The sequence below is a fragment of the Homo sapiens genome, chromosome 7 (assembly GCF_000001405.40).
Source record: "Homo sapiens chromosome 7, GRCh38.p14 Primary Assembly".
NCBI classification, from domain to species: domain Eukaryota; kingdom Metazoa; phylum Chordata; class Mammalia; order Primates; family Hominidae; genus Homo; species Homo sapiens.
Genome location: NC_000007.14, coordinates 49554019 through 49577288, shown reverse-complemented (window position 1 = coordinate 49577288; position 23270 = coordinate 49554019). Strand labels below are relative to the sequence as shown.

Sequence of the window (23270 nt, the reverse complement as noted above, 5' to 3'; positions counted from 1 at the left end):
GATTAATGTCAGAGGGTAGTGTCTTCCCAGCCATACACTTCGTATATTCCAGTTAGAATTCCTTATTTTTTAAAAATCATACTTTCTTACATCAGGCTTAGGAGACAGGCCTTCCATCTCCCCAGTTCTTGTTACCAGCCCAAAAGGGATCTAAGAACCTTTAAACTTGAGATCCTAATAATAAAGATATAAAACAAAAACATTAACCATAGTTCTAGTTAAAAAAATTATACTTTTTTTGGTAGTTTTAAACATTTCATTGATTTTGAGGCATACATAGCACCAGATTCTGGTTGAATATTTAAATATTCAAAGGCTTTATAATGGTTTGACATTTAACAAGTGAATATAATAGCTTCTAGTTTAAAAATACTGCTCTCCAGAAAAACAAGGGAAATGTCCTTGAAACAACTTACTGAAGACTCAATGATAAAAGAAGAGTGTGTCATATTATCATTTTAATATTTAGTTATAGCCGCTTATCTAGACAATGTATTGTCATTTTGCTAAAAAGAACGTTTTCATTTCTAGTGCCTGAACATTTTGAGAGAAAACTTTGTTGACATTCCTAAGCAAAGATATTGAGGTTAAGAAAAATGTAGAAAAAATATTATCTTAGAATTGGGAGAGATTGGAGCTGGGAGTTGGAAATACTGCTTTGCTTTGCCATCTGCTAGTTTTCCAGAACTTCACTCTAATTCCTGTTCACTAACAGAAAGCATGGAACTTGAAAAAGGAACCATGGCCTAAAACATAGGGTGCTTCCTTTTATTCTTAAGAAATTTGGAAAAGGGTATTAGAAGAGGCTGGAGTAGGAACAGGCAGCTCTGCAAGGCTGTCATTTTTAAAGGAAAGGATAAAATGCTAGTATTCTTTATTTCGAAACTGAATATATATTGTATATATGTATATACACATATATACACATATACATACACATATATATATACATATCTATCTATCTATATATATACACACACATATATTCACATTTGATTTTTTTCCCGACATAATTGCATTAGATGAAAGTTTCTGCTGGGTTAATTATGATATGAATTTAGGACTTATTTTTCATTCTTTATGCTTCAGAGTACCATGTTTAACACATAGAATATATGTAATTAGAGTCTCTTACTGTATAGGAAAATTGTTAATGCTTGTTGCTCCATTAAATTCACAGACATTGTAACAAACAGATATTGTAAGCCATGATTTATATATATAGAAACTAAAGTGCAGAGATGTACCAGATATACTTAAGGTTACACACCCATTAAAAAGAAACACATCCCCCTCACCCCGCCAAGGCTGGGCAAGATTGTGAATATGTATGAAGGTTAACATCCATCCCAACCCTGTTCCTGTAGGTCATTCTTACTGGCTCATATAATGAGCCCAACTAGTGGAATTTGCTTATGTCTCCGAATAGGATGCTAAAATGGAATGTAGGATTGGCTTAGTCCCCCGAGGCAAGAAGAGCTGCAGGTACTCTCACATCCCCAAATATGACTGATGCAATATGTGCAAAGACAATGGTCAAAAAAGAGTTTTGCAACCCATAATCTCATGCCCTCTGCAGGGATCAAAATCTTGAAACTGAAGTTATCAGAAGGGAGATTTCTTTGGTAAAATTTGCCAGTGTGCTGTGAGACCCATGTTTCTATCACCTCAAAGTTCTGAGAAGGATTCCAAGGAATCTGTTTGAAGAAAAGTAAACATATTTACTATGTTTCAGGGGACAAAGTAGAGAGGTGTCAGACTTATGCCTGAAAAATATCCACAGACAAAAGGCTGATTGAAGGGGCCACTGCATTCTTATCTGAGAGTCACCAGAAAAATCATACCCAAATTTCACCCAGGGAGCAAGGAAGACCTAGCCCTAACATTGGGTCTGATTAGGCAGTGTAGAGAAAGAATAAGGTTAATCCATGATTGTGTTTGTTAAGCTATTGGTGCACTGCCTTTACTTTCCTTTATTCTCCCTGACCTCATCTTATGCTTCCTTGCATAAAGATATTAAATTAAGGATTATATCCTTTAAATCAAAAGATAATCAGAGTGTTATATCTTATCAGTGATTTAGATTCAGAGATAGATTGCAAATACCCTACTTTGGTGCTAGTCTAGTAGGATAACATGTCACATGTACATACTCACTGTTGCTCATTGTTCCTTTATCTTTCTTCTAGTGCTTTCCATTTCTTCAGTTTCTGAGCTGATGGGTAAAAATAAATCTGGACCCCCTTTCATCACACAACATGTGCTCTCTCTAGACTTTAGAAAGACAAAAGGGGAACCATCCTGGGGCAGGTAGTTTACATCTACTTAACCTTGACAAATAGTATTTCTGCAGGTTCTGTTCTGCATGGTTCATCTGAGCCTCTAGAGGTAGTAATCATAGTACTGTGATTAACACACAGAATATATGTAATTAGAGTCTCTCACTGTAGAGGAAAATTACCAATGCTTCTTAACCTGGGTTTGGGGCCAAAGCTTAGATATAATGATATTTGTGTTTATCTCCCTCTCCCTTCCATTTTAAAGGGGCAGAAGTAGGATAGGATTAAATATTGGAGATTTTGGCTTAATATCTATCCATGTTTCAGAGAATGTATTGATAATATATCCCATTTATTATCTAATTATATTTTAAACCTTTTTACAGTGACTTACATATGGAAAGTTGGAAGAATTTGGTTTTGGTATTAGTTCATGATAATAATTCTGAAAGCCTATTATTTGGACAACACTGTCATTTGGTACATATTATACAATCTCATTTTGTAAATTGAGTCAAATTCATGATGGAAAATACAATTGGGATTACTTTTTTACCTTAATATCAGTGTTCTCTTTGTGCAGACATTTTAAAAATAATTTAATACATTGATCTGTTTCACAGTTTTAGGACATAAGGTCAATGAGCATTAAAGAAGCATGTGTGAAGATGGGCTAGTCCATCTAACTGACACTTAATGGATAGAAGAAGCAACATCAATGATTGGGGAAGCAGTTTCATGAAGGGCTGGACACTTATGTCTAGCATATTTAAGGAAAAGCAAAGGGGCTAATGTGGCTGTAAAACAATGTAGAGGGAAGTAGGAGATATGACAAAAAGTTAGCAAGGAAGAGATTGTGCCAATCTTTGTAAACCTCTGCAAGATGTGAAAAGGAGATTCAATGCCAGGTGTTAACTGACTCCAACTCATATTTTAGTGCGATCATATATCCACGGTGCTGAGAATAAATGAGAAGGAACATGAGTAAAAACAGGGATACCAAACCATTATAGTCATTTAGGCAAGGAATTGTGGTGACTTGGACCAGGTTATAAACACTGGGGGAGGAAAGAGGTGAAAATATAAACATATTTTGAAAGTACAGCCAACACTATTTCCTGAGCAGATGGAGTCAAGTGCAAGTGAGAAAAAGAAGACTCAATAATGACTCCACGATTTTTGCCATGATGAATGGAAGGATGAAGTTGCCATCAGCTGAAATGGGAGTGGCTACAAGTAAAGTATGTTTAGGATTAAATTTCAGGATTTAATCTTTACATTAAATCTTTAGAATTTTTAGAAATACTATTTTTGATATGTCTATTTGATACCCAATGGAAATGAAAGTATTGAGTAATTAGGTAGATATGTGAATCTGGGGTCAGGAAAAATCACATATGCTCTAGAGATAGAGTGCTGTCAGCATAGATAGTATTAATTAATTATTTTGACTTTAATTAAAATTTCTGAAACTTGTTTAATTGTACATGTATATCATAAGCAGTTTCCAAACTGAAAAGTCATATTTATAATAACTGTCAGAATATCATCAGAATCCAGAATATCATCAGAATCTACACATCATGTGCCTCCCAGTCCCACGACCCTCCACAAAATAAACACTGGCCCAGCTTTTAACGGCACATATGAATTTCCCTTGTTTTGTACTTACCATACAAAATTCATTCTTTTGTGTCTGGCTCCTCTTGCTCATTATCATATTTGTTGTAGATAAGCATGTCGTTGTAGTTGTAACTCATTCATTCTCAATAGTAGTCTATTGTAATAATATAACACAATTGGTTTTTCCATTTTATTTTTGTTGGGTACTTTGGTGTTTTTCAACTGTCTTGTTAGGTTGTATGTTTCTAGAAAGTCACCCATTTTTCTAGATTATCCAGTCCATTGCTGTATAGTTATTCACAGTTTGTCTCTTATAATCCTATTTATATCTGCAGCATCAGTTATTATGTCTCCTTTTTCATTTCTGGTGTTTGTTGTGTAAACATTCTCTCTTTTTTCTCTAGTTCATCTACCTATGGGCTTGTCAAATTTGTTGATCTTTTTAAAAAAACACTTAATTTTTCTGTTGTTTTTCTATTCCTTATTATTCTACCCTAATCTTTACCTTCTTCGTGTTGCTGACTTTTGGGTTTTTTCTTTTTCTAGTTTCTTGAAATTTAAAAGTTTTTTTTTTTTTTTTTTTGAGATCTTTCTTCTTTTTTAAAGTGGTGTTTACCTCTATAAATTCCCCTCTTAAAAGTTTTTTTGCTGCATTGGTTTTGGTATGTTGTGTTTTAATTTTCATTTGCCTCAGGATATTTTCTAAGTTTCCTTGTGATTTATTATTTTACCCATTGTTCTTGTTTAAGAATATGTTGTTCAATTTCTATATATTTGTGAATTTTACCATTTTCCTTTTTCTTTTGATTCTTTTGCTACTGACTGCTTTGTGGTCTATAAAGACTCTTGGTATAATTTTGATCTTCTTAAATTTGTTAAGACGTTTTTGTGGCCTCCCATATGACATATCCTGGAGAATGCTGAATGTGTACTTGAGAGGAATGTGCCATTTTGATGTTGTTAAGTGGAGTATTCTGTATATGTCTGTTAGTTGCAATTGGTCTATGGTGTTTTTCAAGTCTTCTGTTTCCTCACTGATCTTCATAGTTTTTCTATTCATTATTAAAAATGTGATATTAAGATCTCTTACTGTTATTGTTTCACTGTCTATTCCTCTCTCAAATTCTGTCCATGTTTGCTTCATGTATTTGGATGCTCTGATGTTAGGTGCATATATATTTGTAATTGTGATATCTTCTTGATAAATTGAACTTTTTGGCATTATATAATGTTGTTCTTTGTCTCTTGGAATTATTTTTGACTTATATTCATTTTTGTCTGATATAAGTATGGCCACCTCTATTTTGTTTCCCATTTGCATGGAATATCTTATTCTGTCCTTTCACTTTTAGCCTATAGCCTCTGAGTGTCCTTATATAAAATGTGCTTCTTCTAGATCATTTCTAGGTGGATCTTATCTGTTGTTGTTGTTCTTTTTTCACTTACCCACTCTATGTCTTCTGATTGGGCAGTTTAATCCATTTATACTTCATACTAATTACTGATAGGGAAAGCCTTACTGTTGCCATTTTGTTGATTTGTGTATGTCTTGTAGTTATTTTGTTCTTCTTTTCTTCTTTTGCTGCCCTCCTTTGTATTTTGTTGATTTTTTTGTAGTGATTTGCTTTGATTTATTTTCTCAGCTTCTTTTGTGTGTCTTCTATAGGTATTTTCTTTGGAGTTACCATGAGGGTTACATAGAAGATCTTATAGTTACAAAAATCTATTTTAAATTGATAACAACTAAACCCAGATTGCATACAAAAACTCTACTCCATTTATATCTTCCTGTCCATTTTATATTGATGTTACAAATTCTATCTTTTTCTATTTTGTATCCATTAACTAGTTTTATATAGTGATTTTTATGCTTTTGTCTTTTAAATTTTATACTAGAATATTGTGATGTATATGCCACCGTTAGAGTATTACATATGCCTATATTTGTCTATATATTTCCCTTTCCAGAGACCTTTATACTTTTATTTTTTTTGTTTGTTTTTGTGTTTTTGAGATGGGAGTCTCTCTCTGTTGCCCAGGCTGGAGTGCAGTGGTGCGATCTCGGCTCACTGCAAGCTCCGCCTCCCGGGTTCACGCCATTCTCCTGCCTCAGCCTCCTGAGTAGCTGGGACTACAGGTGCCCGCCACCACGCCCAGAAAATTTTTTTTTATTTTTAGTAGAGACGGGGTTTCACCGTGTTAGCCAGGATGGTCTCGATCTCTGGACCTCGTGATCCGCCTGCCTCGGCCTCCCAAAGTGCTGGGATTACAGACTTGAGCCACCGTGCCAGGCCTATACTTTTATGTTTTTGTATTGCAGTCTAATGTCCTTTTATTTCCACTTGAATGGCTTTTTTTTTTCTTTCGCATTTCTTGTAAGGCAGGTTTAGTAGTGATGAAGTCCTCAGCTTTTTAAACTTTTTTCTGAGAAATTATTTTGCCTTCATTTTTGAAGGACAGCTTTGACGGATATACTGCTATTGGCTGGCAAGTATTTTCTTTCAGTATTTTAAATATATGCTCCCATGTCCTTATGGCATAAAATATTTCTGCTGAGAAATCTTCTGATAATCTTAGGAAAGCGCCCTTGTATGTAGTTTGTTGCTTTTCTCTTGCTGTTTCAAAATCCTCTCTATCTTTAATTTTGACAGTTTGTTTTAATGTGTTTCAGTGTGGACCTGTTTTAGTTCATCCTTATTGGAGCATTTGAACTCCTTAAAATTGAATTCTCATTTCCTTCCTCATATTTGTGAGAATTTTGGCCATTAGTTCTTCAAATAAACTCTCTGTTCCATTCTCTCTCTCTCTCTTCTCCTTCTGGTATTTCTATAATTCATGACTTGGTATGCTTGATGGTATCCCATAAGTCCTTTAGGCCTTCTTTGCTTCCCTCATTCCTTTTGCTTTTTTCTTCCCTGACTTGATAATTTCGAATGACTTGTTTTCAAGTTAACTGATTCTTTCTTCTCCATGATCAAGTCTGCTGTTAAACCACTCTGGTGAATTTTTCAGTTCAGTTATTGTATTCCCCATGTCTAGAATTCTTTGCTTTTTAATACGTTCCATAATACCTCTTTGTTGGTGTTTTCATTTTGTTGACTACTTTTTTGTTTCCTCAACTCATCAAATTTTGAATGCTTTTTCAAGTAATTTATATACCTCCTTTATGTTAGGGTCAGTTTCGGAAGATTTATCTTAATCCTTTGTTTAGCTCATATTGCCCCATTTCTTCATATGCCTTCTTAGTTTTTTTCTGAGATTTGACCATTTCATTATGGATGTTTGTGTCTTTGAAATTGTCTGGGATACTACAACTCTTAACTGATTTCTAGAGGTCTCATTAAGACTTTGTGGACCAGACATGGTAGTTAAATCAACGTCTCTGTCTGAGAATGAGGTTTTGGGTTTCCTGTTCTGCAATTTGCTAAGATCATTTCTTATAAATATTTTCTAACATATTAAGAAGGCTTCAATTTATTTCTAGTTTTCTAAATTTCATTTCTAGTTCCTTAATTTTATCAAATGCTTTATTGTGTGTCTCTGAGTATAATGGTATTTTGTCTTTATCTTTTTAATGTGATGAACTACATTGACTTTCTAATATTAAACCAACTGTGGAATAAATACCACTTAGTCATGAGGTATTTATAGTTGTATATATTGCCAAACTAAATTTGCTAAAATTTTATTTATTAATTTCACATCTATATTAATGGGAGGTATTTTCTGATCTTTCTCATAATTTCCTTATCCAGATTTGATATCAATTTATACTAACATTATAAAGCCTATTCGGTTTTCTCTGCTTTTACTCTTTTTATAAATTAAGCATATTATTTTTATAATTTAAAAATATTAGCCAGGTGTGGTGGCTCATGCCTGTGATCCCAGCACTTTGGAAGGCTGAGGCAGGTGTATCACTTGAGGTCAGGAGTTTGAGACCAGCCTGGCCAACATGGTGAAACCCCATCTCTACTAAAAATTCAAAAAAATTAGCTGGACATGGTGGCTTGTGCCTGTAATCCCAGCTGCAGGGCAGGTTGAGGCAGGAGAGTCGCTTGAGCCCAGGAAGCAGAGTTTGCAAGCAGCCAAGATCATGCCACTGCACTCTAGCCTGGGTGACAGAGTGAGACTCTATCTCAAAATAAATAAATTAATAAACAAATAAATAAAAATGAAAATAAAATAAAATAATAAAAATATTGACTTTTATTTTAGATACAGGGAGTACACATGCAGGTTTGTTACATGGGTGCATTGTGTAGCTGAGGTTTGGAGCATGCATCCTATAACTTAGGTAGTGAGCATAGTACCCAATAGATAGTCTTTCAGTCCTTACTCCCCAGTTAGTCCACATTGTCTATTGTTCTCATCTTTATGTCCATGCATACCCAATGTTTAGCTCCCACTTCTGGGAACATGCAGTATTCAGTTTTCTGTTCCTATGTTAATTACTTATGATTATGGTCTCTAGCTGGATCCATGTTGCTGCAAAGGACATAATTTTGTTCCTTTTATGTCTGTGTAGTATTCTATAGTGCATATGTACCACATTGTCTTTATTTAATCCACCATTGATGGGCACCTGGGTTGATTCCTTGTCTTTGCTATTATGAATAGCTGTGATGAACATACAAGTGCATGTGTCTTTTGGGTAGAATTATTAATATTTATTTTCTTTTAGATATAAACCCAGTAATGGGATTACTGGGTCAAATGGCACCTCTGTTTTAAGTTCTTTGGGAAATCTCCAAACGGTTTTCAAAAGTGGCTGAACTAATTTACATTTCCACGAACAGTGTATAAGAATTCCTTTTTCTCTGCCAGCATCTGTTAGTATTTGATTTTTTAAAAATAGTCACTCTGAGTGGCATGAGATATCTCATTGTGATTTTGATTTGCATTTCTCTGATGATTAGTGATGATGAGCATTTTTTCATATGTTTATTGGCTGCTTGTATGTCTTCTTTTGATGGATGTCTTTTCATGTCCTTTGACCATTTTTTAAAGGGGTTACTTGCTTTTTTGTTTGTTGAATTATGTTCCTCATAGGTTCTGGATATTAAATCTTTGTCAAATGCATAGTTTGCAAATATTTTCTCCCATTCTGTAGGTTGTCTGTTTACTGTGTTGATAGTTTCTTTAGTTGTACACAAGCACTTTAGTTTAATTTGGTCCTACTTTTCAAATTTCGTTTTTGTTGAAATTGCTTTTGGGGACTTAATCAAACATTCTTCCTCAAGAATAATGTTGAGAAAGGTATTTCCTAGGTTTTCTTCTAGGATTTTCACAGTTTGAGGTGTTATATTTAAATCTTTAATGCATGTTGAGTTAGTTTATGTATATAGTGAAAGGTAGGGGTCCAATTTCATTTTTCTGCATATGGCTAGCTAGTTATTTTGGCATTATTTATTAAACAGAGAGTCTTTCCCTATTGCTTGTTTTTATTGGCTTTATCAAAGATAAGATGGTTGTAGGTGTACAGCTTTATTGCTGGGTTTCCAATTCTGTTACATTGGTCTATGTGTCAATTTGTGTACCGATACTACGCTGTTTTGGCTATGGTAGCCTTTTAGTATAGTTTGGGTAGTGTGGTGCCCTCAGCTTGCAATTTTTGCTTAGAATTGTTTTGGTTATTCAGGCTCATTTCTGGTCCGATATGAATTTAATAATAGTTTTTTTTTCTAATTATGTGATATATGACATTGGTAGTTCAATAGGAATAGCACTGAATCTATAAATTGCTTTGAGCAGTATGGTCATTTTAATGATACTAATTCTTCCAGTCCATGAGCATGGAATGTTTTTCCATTTATTGGTGTTGTATCTGATTTCTTTCAGCAGTGTTTTGTAGTCTCTGTGAAACATTTCACTTCTTTGGTTGACTATTTTTAAGCATTTCAATATTTTATGGCTATTGCAAATGGGATTGCATTCTTGATTTGACTCTCATCTTGAACATTATCAGTATATTATTGGTGTATAGAAATACTACTGATTTTGTACATTAATTTTGTATCCTGAAACTGTAATAAAATTCTTTTTCAGTTCTTGGAATCTTTTGGCAGAGCCTTTAAGGTTTTCCAGGTATAGAATCATATCATTAATGAAGAGATATAGTTTGACTTCTTTTTCTATTTGAATGGCTTTTAATCCTTTCTCTTGTCTGATTCTCTTGCTCTGGCTAGAACTTCCAGTATTATATTGAATAAGAATGGTAAAAGAGGGCATTCTTGTCTTGTTTCAGTTCTCAGGGGGAAATGGTTCCAGCTTTTGCCCATTTACTGTGATATTGCTGTGGGTTTGTCATAGATGACTCTTATTATTTTGAGGTATGTTCCTTTGATACCTTGTCTGTTGAGGGTTTTTAACATGATGCTATGTTGGATTTTACTGAAAGCTTTTTCTGTGTCTATTGAGATTATCATATGATTTTTGCTTTTAAATCTGTTTATGTGCTAAATCATCTATATTGATTAGTGTGTGTTGAACCAACTTTGCATTCTAGCAATAAAGCCTTCTTGACTGTGGTGTATTACCTTTTTGATGTGCTGCTGGATTCAGTTTGTTGAAGATTATTGTGTCTAGGTTTATTAGGAATATTGGCCAGATGTTTAATTTTCTCATTATGTCTCTGATAGAGTTTGGTGTCAGGCTGATGCTGGATTCACAGAATGAGTTAGGAAATTACCCCTTCAACTTGATTTTTGGAATAGTTTCAGTAGGATTGGTATGAGTTCTTCTTCGTACATCTGATGGAATTTGGTTGTGAATCCATCTGGTTCAGGGCTGTTTTTAGTTGGTGGCTTTTTAAAATTATTCATTCAGTTTTGGAACTTGTTATTTGTCTATTCAGGGGGTTGATATTCTTCCTGGCTCAATCTTGGGAAGTTGTGTGTTTACAGGAATTTATCCATTTAGCTTTTCCAATTTAAGTTTCTAATTTGAGTGTATACATTTGTTCATAATTGTTTCTGAAAACCTTTTCTATTTCCGTGGGATGGCTTGTAATGTCACCTTTGCCATTTCAGATTGAACTTAATTGGATCTTCTATTTTTTTCTTTGGCAATCTAGCTAGCAGTGTATCAGTCTTGTTGATTCTTTTGAAAAAAGCTTTCATTACTCTTTGTGGGGATTTTTGCACCTCAATTTTGTTCAGTTCTTCTCTAGTTTTAGTTATTTCTTTACTTCTGCTAGCTTTTTTTCCCCCTAGTGTTAAGTCCAGAATTTCTTTGTTAGTTTTCAGCCTTGATAATCTGCCTAACGTTGTCAGTGAGATGTTGAAATCTTTTACTATTATTGTGTGGTTATCTAAATCTTTTCATGGGTCAAGGAGAACTTGCTTTATGAATCTAGGTGCTCCAATGTTGAATGCATATATATTTATGATAGTTAAGTCTTGCTGAATTACACCCTTTATCATTATGTAATGCCTTTCTTTGTCCTTCTGAATAATTCTTGGTTTAAGGTCTGTTTTATCTAATATGAGAATGGTGACTCCTCCTCTTTTTTTTGTATCTGTTTTCACGGTTCATGTTTTTCCACCCTTTTACTTTGAGCCTGTGAGTGTTATTACATGTGAGATAGGTCTCTTGAAGACAGTAGATGTTGGTTTTTATCTTTTGATCTAGATTGCCACTTTATATATTTTAAGTGGGGTATTTTGTCCACTTAATTTCAGGGTTAGTATAGATATGTGAGATTTTGATCCTGTCATTGTGTTGTATGCTGGTTGTTATGTATACTTAATTATGCAGTTGCTTTATAGTGTCTGTGGGCTATGTGGCTTAGTAGGTTTTTGTGATAGCAGATCCCATTCTTTTGATTTCATGTTTAAGACTCCCTTAAGAACCTCTTGTAAGGCTGGTCAGGTTTTAATGAATCTCTCAGTGTTTGCTTGTCTGAGAAAGTTTTTATTTCTTTCACTCATGAAGCTTGTTTTGGAAGGATACAAAATTCTTGGTTACAATTTATTTTCTTTAACAATGCTGAATAGGCCTCCAATCTGTTCTGGCTTGTAAAGGTTTAGCTGAGAGGTTGGCTTTTAGCCTGAGGCATTTCTCTTTGTATGTAATCTTACCCTCCTCTTAGCCACCTTTAAGATTTTTTTTTCTTATTGATCTTGATCAATCTGATTACTACACGCCTTGGTTATGGTCATCTAATATAGTATCTAGCTGGCATTCTCTGTGTTTCTTGAATTTGCATTTCAACCTTTCTGGCAAGATTTGAAAAATTTTTCATGGACTGTATCCTCAAATATATTGTCAAATTTCCTTACTCATTCTCCTGTCTCAGGAATGAAAATGAATCATAAGTTTGGTCTCTATACTTATTCTCACACTTCTTGGAAGTTTTAGTCATTATTAATTTTTTAAAAAAATTTTGTTTGTCTGAGTTGATTTGAAGAAGTGATCTTTGGCCTCTGAGATTCTTTCCTCAGTTTGGTCTATTCTGCTGTTAATACTTCCAATTGTGCTATAAGATTCTTATAGTGAATTTTTCAGTTCCAGAAGTTCAATTTTATTCTTTCTTAGAATTACTACTTCATCTTTCAGCTCTTGGATTCTTTTTAACTGGATTCCTTGGATTGTGTTTCACCTTTCTCCCAGATTTCAATGAGCACTCTTGCCATCCAGATTCTGCATTCTATGCCTGTCATTTCAGACATTCCAGTCTGGTTAATGACCATTGCTGTTGGTTTAGTAGGCTCATCTTGAAGTTAGGGGATACTCTGGCTTGTTGAACTGCCAGAGTTCTTGCCCTGAATTTTTTCTCATTGTTGGGGGAGGGGGCTGGTTTTTCTTTAACTGTGATGTAAGTTGAGTGTAGTCATTTGGTTTCATTTCTTGCTGCTTTCAGAGGCTCTGTATAGTATCTTTATGCGTGGGCGAATTCTTGCATTTGGTTTCACAGCTGTGCATCTTAGCTGAATAATTTTGGTGTTGTAGTTTGGACTGCAATCCAGTAGTTGGGTAAGAGTAATGGCTGATAAATGGGCACTTACTAAGCTATACAGCTCTCTTGTATTATTTCACATTCACAGGCGTGCTCTGCAGAGGATGGCCTGGGTGGGGGAAGAGGACCTTCTTAGCAGACCGACTCCTGGGCCATGTGGGGATCCCCCAATCATGGGCATCACATCCCTGTTGCTTTCGTGAGACGTTCCAGGCTGCAAGTCTCCCTCAGGCAAAGGCTGTGGCAGGGAGGTAGGCTACATCCTTTCTGGACTGGACTTGTGGAGTGAGGTACACTCTGCTCCTATGCTCACCCACTTAACACACACTTCTTGCTACCCTAAGTGCTCTGAGAGTAGCGGCTCCTATCCCACTTCAGTGCAAGCCACAAATCTTGGCTCAGCACTCCCAAGCTGTGCACTGCAGCCCTGGGGCCCTGAGATGGCCTGTAGCTTGGGGTTGGGCTCCAGCTGTTCTGGGATATCCGAAGTGCTCCCAGGTTGCTGGGAAAGTACTCGGATGAAGCAAAGCACTTACATTGTGCATCAGATGCTGCACTGTGCAGGAACTCCTATGGGGCAGCTCGGCAGGGGCCATGGGAGGAGCTGTTTGGCAGGAAGCCCTGCAGAACAGATGCATCTTTGTCCCATAGGGAAGTTGGCCTCATTTTTTCCTGGCCTGGTAATCAGCTAGGGGTAGAGCCTCTCAGAGGGAGATGGGGACCACTGTGGGATGGGTACCAGTGACCATGCTCCACCAGAGCTGCCCTGCACACAAAAGCTGCTGTGCCCCATGTTAGCTGAAGCCCTGTCTCTGCCTACTCCCCAGGCAGATGCCCCGTCAGCTCAGCTGTCAATAGGGAGTGTGGGGGCCCTGTAGCTGGGAATCTAGAGGTCCATGTTGAGAGTGGGCTATTCCTCTGTCCCCTCACTCACCACTTCCCCAGGAACTGTTCAGGTCCAGGAACTAGCCCTAGCATTTGGGTATCCCATGAAGGTTCCTAGCTTCCTCCCTTCTCAGTCTCAGTGTCACCTCTTCATTCACTTGGTGTTTTCTCTCTAAAGATATGCCTAATTTACGTTGTTTTACTTGATAACTTGGTCTTTCTTGGTGGGAGCAGCACTTCCTGTCTCTGCCTACTTTGCCATCTTGTGTGGCCCTCTCTCCTTTTTTTCTGGCAGGAATTTGTAGGAGATCATGAGTAAAGTTGCCTTGCCATGGCATATTCTTTGAGGGGAAGTTTTAAATTTAAGACACAAAAATATCATTAATAGATAATAGAATTATTAGAACTTTTCATTTCTCCCGTTCCCAATTATGATGCAATATAAGATATAATTATTTATTCTGGTAATACGATGGTATTTGGGCTTTATATGTAACACAGCAATAGCTTAGTTAAGCCTGACTATAATCATGCAGAATAATTATTTGGTGACATTCAGCATTCACTTATTATTTTAAAAAGTAGGAAGGCATTTATTAACTTCATTTAACAATATAAACCTGGGAATAAATGCCTGCAGTAAATATCATAATTAATGCAGAGGTTTTGAAACTTTCTTTTAATATAAAGCACAATGTGAGGCACTCTCATATGTTTGCTTAGCATTCTACTGAAAATCCTAGTTAATGTAATTATGTCAGAGTAAGAAATAAATTTATAAGCATCAAAAAGTTGTAAAAATATGTCATTTTTGACTATAATATTTAATTTTTGCCTATGTACAAACATCCAAAATAATGTAAAGACCATTGTCAAAGTTATAATTGAGCTTAGGACATTTGCTGGATTGGCAGTACATAAAATTCAGTTATATTTCTATATATTGGTAACAAAGAGAAATTATAAAATTTAAAAAATACAGTTTGTAACAGAAACAGAAAAAAATTAAGAAAAAAATCTCTCAAAAAGCACACAACTGTTGGGAAAAATGATAAAATATTGTTCAAAGTCATAAAACATTATTTAAATAAAAATAGAGGTATACCATGGACATTAATTAGGAAACTTACATTGTAAATAGATCTTGCTTGAAAATTAATTTATATCAGCAGTTTTTAATCTTTTTGGTCTGAATTCTCCTTTAAAGTCCTTAAAATTATTAAAATCCACAGATCCATTTTATTTGTTTAGATTGTATCTATCAACATTTACCTTATTAGAGACCTTAAGATATAAATTTTTAGCTTATTTTAAATGACAGAAGCCCACTAAATGTTAAAATAATAACAGAATTTATGAAAGATAATTATTACTTCCAAACAAATAATATAATGAACAGAGTGATTTTGTTTTTTATTTTTGGAAATGTCTTTAATGTCCAGCTGTATCATCAAAGATGTGGTTTGGATATTTGTCACCTCCAATCTCACGTTGAAATTTAGGTTGGGATCGGTAGCACATAACTGTAATCCTAGCATGTGTCCATTGATGAGCATGCAGGTGAGTTTCAAGGGTCCATGGTATCATGGGTGTTTTTCTCACATCGTTATTAGGGTATAATTAACAAGTAATAATTACATACATTTAGAGTGCAAAATGTGATGTTTTGATTTATGTATACATTTGAAATGATACAATTAAACTAATTAACATATCTACCACACCAGATCACAGTCACTATTTTTTGTGTTTGTATGACAAGAACACCTGAGATCTACTGTTTTAGCAAATTTCAAGTATAGAATACATTATAATTGACTATAGTCACCCTATTGTGCATTAGGTTTTTAGTACTTATTCATTTTATACCTGTTGCTTTATACCCTTTTCCCCTTAACCATTCAGCCTCTGATAACACCCATTCAAATATCTTATACTATATATTTATTTTTTCTTTTTATGTTTCTTATATAACTGAGATAATACAGTATTTGCTTTTCTACATCTGACTTATTTTACTTAGCATAATGTCCTCAAGGTAAACTCATTTATCACAAATGGCAGGATCTCTCTTATTTTTCAAGGCTAAGTAATATTTTTATATACATATATATACACACACATAATATATATGTAAAGGAATATATAACACATACATAATTGTCTTCATCCATTCATCTGTTGATGGATGCTTAGGCTATTGGTCTTTTTGTGAGTGGCTATTGTGAGTAACGATGCAATGAACATGGGAGTGCAAATATCTCTTTGAAACTGTTATTTTTTTCCTTTGATTACACACCAAGAAGAGGATTGGATCATGTGGTAGTTCCATTTTTAATTTTTTGAGGAATATCTATACTGTTTTCAATGGCTGTACCAATTTAAATTTCCAACAACAGTGTACAATGGTTCTCTTTTCTTCATACCCTGAATGACACTTGTTATCTTTTGACTTTTTAGTAATAGCCATCCTCACAAGTATGAGTGGATATCTTTTGGTAGTTTTAATTTACATTTTAAAGCCCACTCTCTCAGCTACCTCCTTCCCCAGACTTTTCCTTCCAAATATTTTCATTCTCTCTATTGCTTACCATGTATATCATTTCTTGTCTCATTTTCCTTTAAATTCATTCTGCAAACACCACTAAAGCAAACCACTTCCTTTCTGGGGAATCTTTGAGGCAGGCAAAACAAGGGCTATCCCTGGAGCTGATAGCTCAGGGAGCCACAAGACAGATCAAAACACACAATTATTTGAAACTAAGTCCTGCACGCACCCTCTGGTTAGAGCAACCTGCATAAAAAAGTGCTGACTGCCATCTTCTTGGCAACTGTCAAGCTGGGGATTAGAGGATGTAAGTGGGTAAGGAATGATACCACAGTGCTCTCTTATCGAAATCCAGCTGCTGCTTTCTTCATTCAACATTCCCCTGCTTGTTGTAAGTTTTGTTATTAGATTCTAGAATTCTAAAATATTTAATTCTGTTTTTGCCAACTTATTTATTGCTTTTGTGGTGGGGTGGTGTTCTCTAGTTCCCTACCTAGCTATTTTAGGTGATGTCACCTTTAACAAATAGTCTTTGGGACATCATGGCCTTCCTTATTATTTCAACTTGCTTTTTTAACATTTTTTTTCTTTTTTTTATTATACTTTAAATTCTAGGGTATATGTGCACAACGTGCAGGTTTGTTACATATGTATACATGTGCCATGTTGGTGTGCTGCACCCATTAACTCATCATTTACATTACATATGTCTCCTAATGCTATCCCTCCCCCCTCCCCCCCAACCCACAACAGGCCCTGTTGTGTGGTGTTCCCCTTCCTGTGTCCTAGTGTTCTCATTGTTCGATTCCCACCTATGAGTGAGAACATGTGGTGTTTGGTTTTTTTGTCCTTGTGATAGTTTGCTGAGAATGATGGTTTCCAGCTTCATCCATGTCCCTACAAAGGACATGAACTCATCCTTTTTATGGCTGCATAGTATTCCATGTGTATATGTGCCACATTTTCTTAATCCAGTCTATCATTGATGGACATTTGGGTTGGTTCCAAGTCTTTGCTATTCTGAATAGTGCCACAATAAACATACATGTGCATGTGTCTTTATAGCAGCATGATTTATAATCCTTTGGGTATATACCCAGTAATGGGATGGCTGGGTCAAATGGTGTTTCTAGTTCTAGATCCTTGAGGAATCACCACACTGTCTTCCACAATGGTTGAACTAGTTTATAGTCCCACCAACAGTATAAAAGTGTACCTATTTCTCCACATCCTCTCTAGCACCTGTTGTTTCCTGACTTTTTAATGATCACCTTTCTAGCTGGTGTGAGATGGTATCTCGTTGTTGTTTTGATTTGCATTTCTCTGATGGCCAGTGCCATTCAACATAGTGTTGGAAGTTCTGGCCAGGGCAATTAGGCAGGAGAAGGAAATAAAAGGTATTCAATTAGGAAAAGAGGAAGTCAAATTGTCCCTGTTTGCAGATGACATGATTGTACATTTAGAAAACCCCATCGTCTCAGCCCAAAATCTGCTTAAGCTGATAAGCAACTTCAGCAAAGTCTCAGGATACAAAATCAATGTACAAAAATCACAAGCATTCTTATACACCAATAACAGACAAACAGAGAGCCAAATCATGAATGAATTCCCATTCACAATTGCTTCAAAGAGAATAAAATACCTAGGAATCCAACTTACAAGGGGGTGTGAAGGAATTCTTCAAGGAGAACTACAAACCACTGCTCAATGAAATAAAAGAGGACACAAACAAATGGAAGAACATTCCATGCTCACAGATAGGAAGAATCAGTATTGTGAAAATGGCCATACTGCCCAAGGTAATTTATAGATTCAATGCCATCCTCATCAAGCTAGCAATGACTTTCTTCACAGAAGTGGAAAAAACTACTTTAAAGTTCATATGGAACCAAAAAAGAGCTGGCATTGCCAAGACAATCCTAAGCCAAAAGAACAAAGCCGGAGGCATCACGCTACCTGACTTCAAACTATACTACAAGGCTACAGTAACCAAAGCAGCATGGTACTGGTACCAAAACAGAGATATAGACCAATGGAACAGAACAGAGCCCTCAGAAATAATACCACACATCTACAACCAAACAAAACCTGACAAAAACAAGATCTTTGACAAACCTGACAAAAACAAGAAATGGGTAAAGGATTCCCTATTTAATAAATGGTGCTGGGAAAACTGGCTAGCCATATGTAGAAAGCTGAAACTGGATCCATTCCTTCCACCTTATACAAAAATTAATTCAAGATGGATTAAAGACTTACATGTTAGACCTAAAACCATAGAAACCCTAGAAGAAAATCTAGGCAATACCATTCAGGACATAGGCATGGGCAAGGACTTCATTTGTAAAACACCAAAAGCAATGGCAACAAAAGCCAAAATTGACAAATGGGATCTAATTAAACTAAAGAGCTTCTGCACAGCAAAGGAAACTACCATCAGAGTGAACAGGCAACCTACAGAATGGGAGAAAATTTTTGCAATCTACTCATCTGACAAAGGGCTAATATCCAGAATCTACAAAGAACTCAAACAAACTTACAAGAAAAAAACAAACAACCGATCAAAAAGTGGGCAAAGGATATGAACAGACACTTTTCTTTTTAATTATTTATTTAAGGGGTACAAGTGCGGTTTTGTTACATAGATAGGTAGCATAGTGGTGTAACTATCTCCCTAATAGTGTATATTGTACCCATCAAGTTATTTCTCATCTCTCACCCCCCTCCAACTCCTGCCACCTTTCTGAGTATCCATTTTCTATTATTCCACTTTCTATTCCATGTGTGCTCATTGTTTAGCTCACACCTGTAAGTGAGAGCATGTGGTATTTGGCTTTATGCTTCTGAATAATTTCACCTATGATAATGGCCTCTAGTTTCATCCATGTTGCTGCAAAAGATATAGATATCATTCTTTTTATGACTGGGTAGTATTCTGTGGTATGTGTGTATATATATATATTCTAATGTATATATGCACATTAAAATATATACATAGCATATATTCTATAGTATACTTATATACACATACCACATTTTCTTTATCCAATCATCTATCAATGGGCACAGGTTCATTCCATACATTTTCTCTTGTGAATAACACTCTACTAAACATACAAGTTCAGGTATTTTGGGGGTATAATGATTTCTTTTCCTTTGAGTAGATTACTGGTAGTGGGATTGCTGAATTGAATAGGAGTTCTATTTTTAGCTCTTTGACAAATGTCCACACATTTTCCACAGAGGTTTATTAATTTATATTCACACCAATAGGATATAAGCACACTGTTATGTCTGTATCCTTGCCAACATCTATTGCTTTTTGAATTTTTTATGAAAGCCATTCTGACTTGTGTAGGATGGTATCTCACTGTGGTTTTAGCGTACCTTTCTCTGGTGATTAGTGATGTTTTTCATATGCTTGTCGGCCATTTCTATGTCTTCTTTTCTAAAATGTCTGTCCTTGTCCTTTGCCCACTTTTTAATAGGGTTATTTGCAGTGTTTTTTGGTTATTATTGAGATGTTTGAGTTCCTTGTAGATTTTGGATATTAGTCTTTTGTTGGATGCATAGTTTGCAAATATTTTTACCATTCTGCAGGTTGTCTGTTCACTTGGTTGATTATTTCTATTGTTGTGCAGATATTTTAGTTTAATTAAGTCCCATTTGTCTATGTTTTTGTTGCATTTGCTTTTGAGGTATTAATCATTTATTATTTGCCAAGGTCAATGTCCAGGAAAGCTTTTTTCCTAGATTTTCTTTTAGTACTTTTATAGTTTCAGGCCTTACTTTTAAGTCTTTAATGTATCTTGAGTTAATTTTTGGATCTGGTGAGAGATGAGTCCAATTTCATTCTTGTGCATGTGGCAATCCAATTTTTCCAGCACACTTTATTTAATAGGGTGTCCATTCCCTAATGTATGTTTTTGTTAACTTTGTCAAAGATAAGTCGACTGCAGGTATGTGGTTCTATATCTGGGTTCTCTATTCTGTTCCATTGACTTATGTGTCTGTGTTTATACTAATATCATGCTATTTAGGTCATTGTAGCCATGTAGTATAATTTGAAGTCAGGTAATGTGATGCTTCCAACTGTGTTATTTTTGTTTGGGATTGCTTTGGCTATTCAGGCTTTTTTTGTTTGTTTGTTTGTTTTATATGAATTTTAGGATTTGTAAAAAATGATGTTGGTATTTTGGTCAGAATTGCATTGAATCTGTAGATTGATTTGGGCAGGATGGTCGTTTTAATAATATTAATTCTTCTAATTCATGAGCATGGAATTTTTCCATTTGCTTGTGTCATCAACACTTTCTTTCATCAGGGTTTTGTAGTTTTGCTTGTAGCGATTTTCACCTCCTTGATTAAATGGACTCCTAGGCATTTTATTTATTTTTTTGTAGCTATTGTAAATGAGATTAACTTCTTGATTTGGTTCTCAGCTTGATCATGCTTTTCTTTAATTTTTAATGAACATTACATAACCTGATTTTCTTTGTTTTCTTCTTTGCACATTATCTGTTCAAAGTCTTTGCTCATTTTCTATTGAGCTAACTTTAACACTCTTTTGTAAGAGTGTTTTATAAGGAATACTTAATACTTATTTGAAAATATCTTTCAATTTTTTATTTTTAAATTTTGTGTTTGGTGAACTTTTAGACACAGCGTGTTTGCAACTTTAAACACAAAATAGTTCACACCTATTAATCTTTTTCCTTGTATAATTTTTGCCTGTGAGGTAATGATTCTTTGAAAGTACTTCTGTGTCCCACTCATAGAACATATCATTTGTATAGTTCTGTGTTTTTATGTTCTATTAAAACTTCAGCCCAAATGCAAATTACTTTGCCATATAGATCATGGCATTTATCTAATTTCACACTTTTCTTTTAATTGGCTTGTTACAAATCTAATCCTATGGTCTAAAAAAGCTATTATCAATAAACCCTTTGGAGTACCACTTTATTCTGTACTATCATTTTTATTGAGTATATTCTGAACAATTGATTCCATTTTAAAAATGTTTAAGTTTCATGTCATTTATTTATTTACAAATGAAACATCTCTGATACCTGCTCTGTTCTTAAGTTTTATATTCTTTGTAATCTTGACCTTAAGAATGGATTTATTTTTCCTTAACCTTTTGTCTGTACTAAATATGTGTTTGTCAGCTTCAGGTAGACACTTTCCATGGTGATGAAAATTAAAATAATACAGAGAGAAGCATATATTCATAACAGAAAAAAACAGTTTATTAGTCTAGAAATTAAGGCCATTTGAAATTATCTTTAACGGACAAAATCAGGAAGACATAGGGAACTTCATATATTTCATATATCCTTAGAAAATGTGGAAGTGAGAGCCCAGTGTCTTGGGAATATGGACTTTTGCATGACAGTCTACACTTTGTAACCCAATTTGATCTAATTATCTAAATTATTTGAGGCTCAGTATCCTTAAATGCAGATACAACGTCTCAACTGTTAAATGTAGGCAATCATAATATCATCAAATAATTATTGTAAGAAATGTATGTAAAATTGTTTGGTAAAAATTATTTGCTGTGCAAATATTAGACAATCTTTTGACTTTCACAAACTAATTTAAAATGTTCTCCTATTATATTTTCTTGGCATAGGCTTAGATATAAAGCTTTCCATTTTTAAGAGATAGGGTGATTCCTTCTGCAGCACAACCTCCACTGCATGGTTAAATCCCTAGATAGAGTTAGGATTTAACAGAGTTTTGCAAAACAGAAAAGTCTGGATGGAAAGTTTTCTCCTCTTGGCCCTTCAAACACATTACTGCTGCATTACTACTACTGTGTTTATTGTTTCTCCTGTTCCCTGGGATGGCAGCATGCTGTCCTATCTACTTTTTTTTTTTTTTTGAGACAGTCTTGCTCCATAGCCCAGGCTGGAGTGCAATGGCGCGACCTCGGGTCACTGCAACCTCCGCCTCCTGGGTTCAAGCAATTCTCCTACCTCAGACTGCCAAGTAGCTGGGATTACAGGTGCCCGCCGCCACACCCAGCTAATTGGCGTGTGTGTGTGTGTGTGTGTGTGTGTGTGTGTGTGTGTTTAGTAGAGATGGGCTTTCACCATGTTGGCCAGTGTGGTCTTGAACACTTGACCTCAGGTGATCTACCCGTCTTGGCCTCCCAAAGTGCTGGGATTACAGGTGTGAGCCACTGTGCCCGGCCATATCTACATTTTAATTGAAACTTTAAAAATGGGTAGAGTGAATAGAATGTAAAAATACTGTAAGAAACATGAAATACTAAAAATGTATTTGATTGCTGGACTTTTATCTTCTTATTCAAATATTCCCAGTCATGGTTATGCTTTCATTTTCTTGTTTCAGAAAAATAAATTAAAAATGTAATAATGACACATAGGTGGATTTCCAGAAACTGAAGGATTCAAGTATTCATTTTTAACCATAATTTTATGTTTTAAATTAAGTCAAATTTTGAAATAGTACTTTCTATAGAAACGAATTTCAGTGATAGAAATCCAAATGCTGAACTTTTTATTTGAAAATGTAAAACTATAGAAAATATGCCATAGAAGGTTAATATTAATTATAATATTTTGAAATAGTTTTGATTTAAAAGTAGTCAAATTTCTCCCAAGTAAATTTATTCATCACTTTTTCTTATTTCCTAATAACTATGTGTTAATTCAAATTGAATGAGAATAGATAGGCATCTTTGATTTAACTGAAACAAATCCTGATCCTTTTTTATTGACCTTTCCATGGGGCATTTACAAAATTTTGAATTAAGGCTTATGTTAAAACAAAAAGAGAAGTTGAAAGTAGCCTCATGGAGCTAATGCCTTGGTTTCCAATGAATTAAAGCATTAGAAACATCACTTATTTCCTGACAATGTCTTGGGAATATGGACTTTTGCATGGGAATCAACACTTTGCAACCCAATTTGATCTAGTTATCTAAATTATTTGAGGCTCAGTA

At 35.0% G+C, this 23270-nt stretch overlaps 1 long non-coding RNA gene across 1 annotated transcript in view, besides 1 other annotated feature; it reads right to left on the bottom strand.

Annotated features, from left to right (window-relative positions):
* Window positions 1-23270, bottom strand: part of LOC124901804 (uncharacterized) — a 60358-nt gene that overhangs the window by 7279 nt on the left and 29809 nt on the right. The window lies entirely within an intron of this gene.
* Window positions 12706-12815: an enhancer, noted in NCBI's record as "active region_25988". NCBI's record gives its function as "activates an Ori minimal core promoter by ATAC-STARR-seq in GM12878 lymphoblastoid cells {active_cell/tissue: GM12878}" and the evidence as "EXISTENCE:reporter gene assay evidence [ECO:0000049][PMID:35858748]".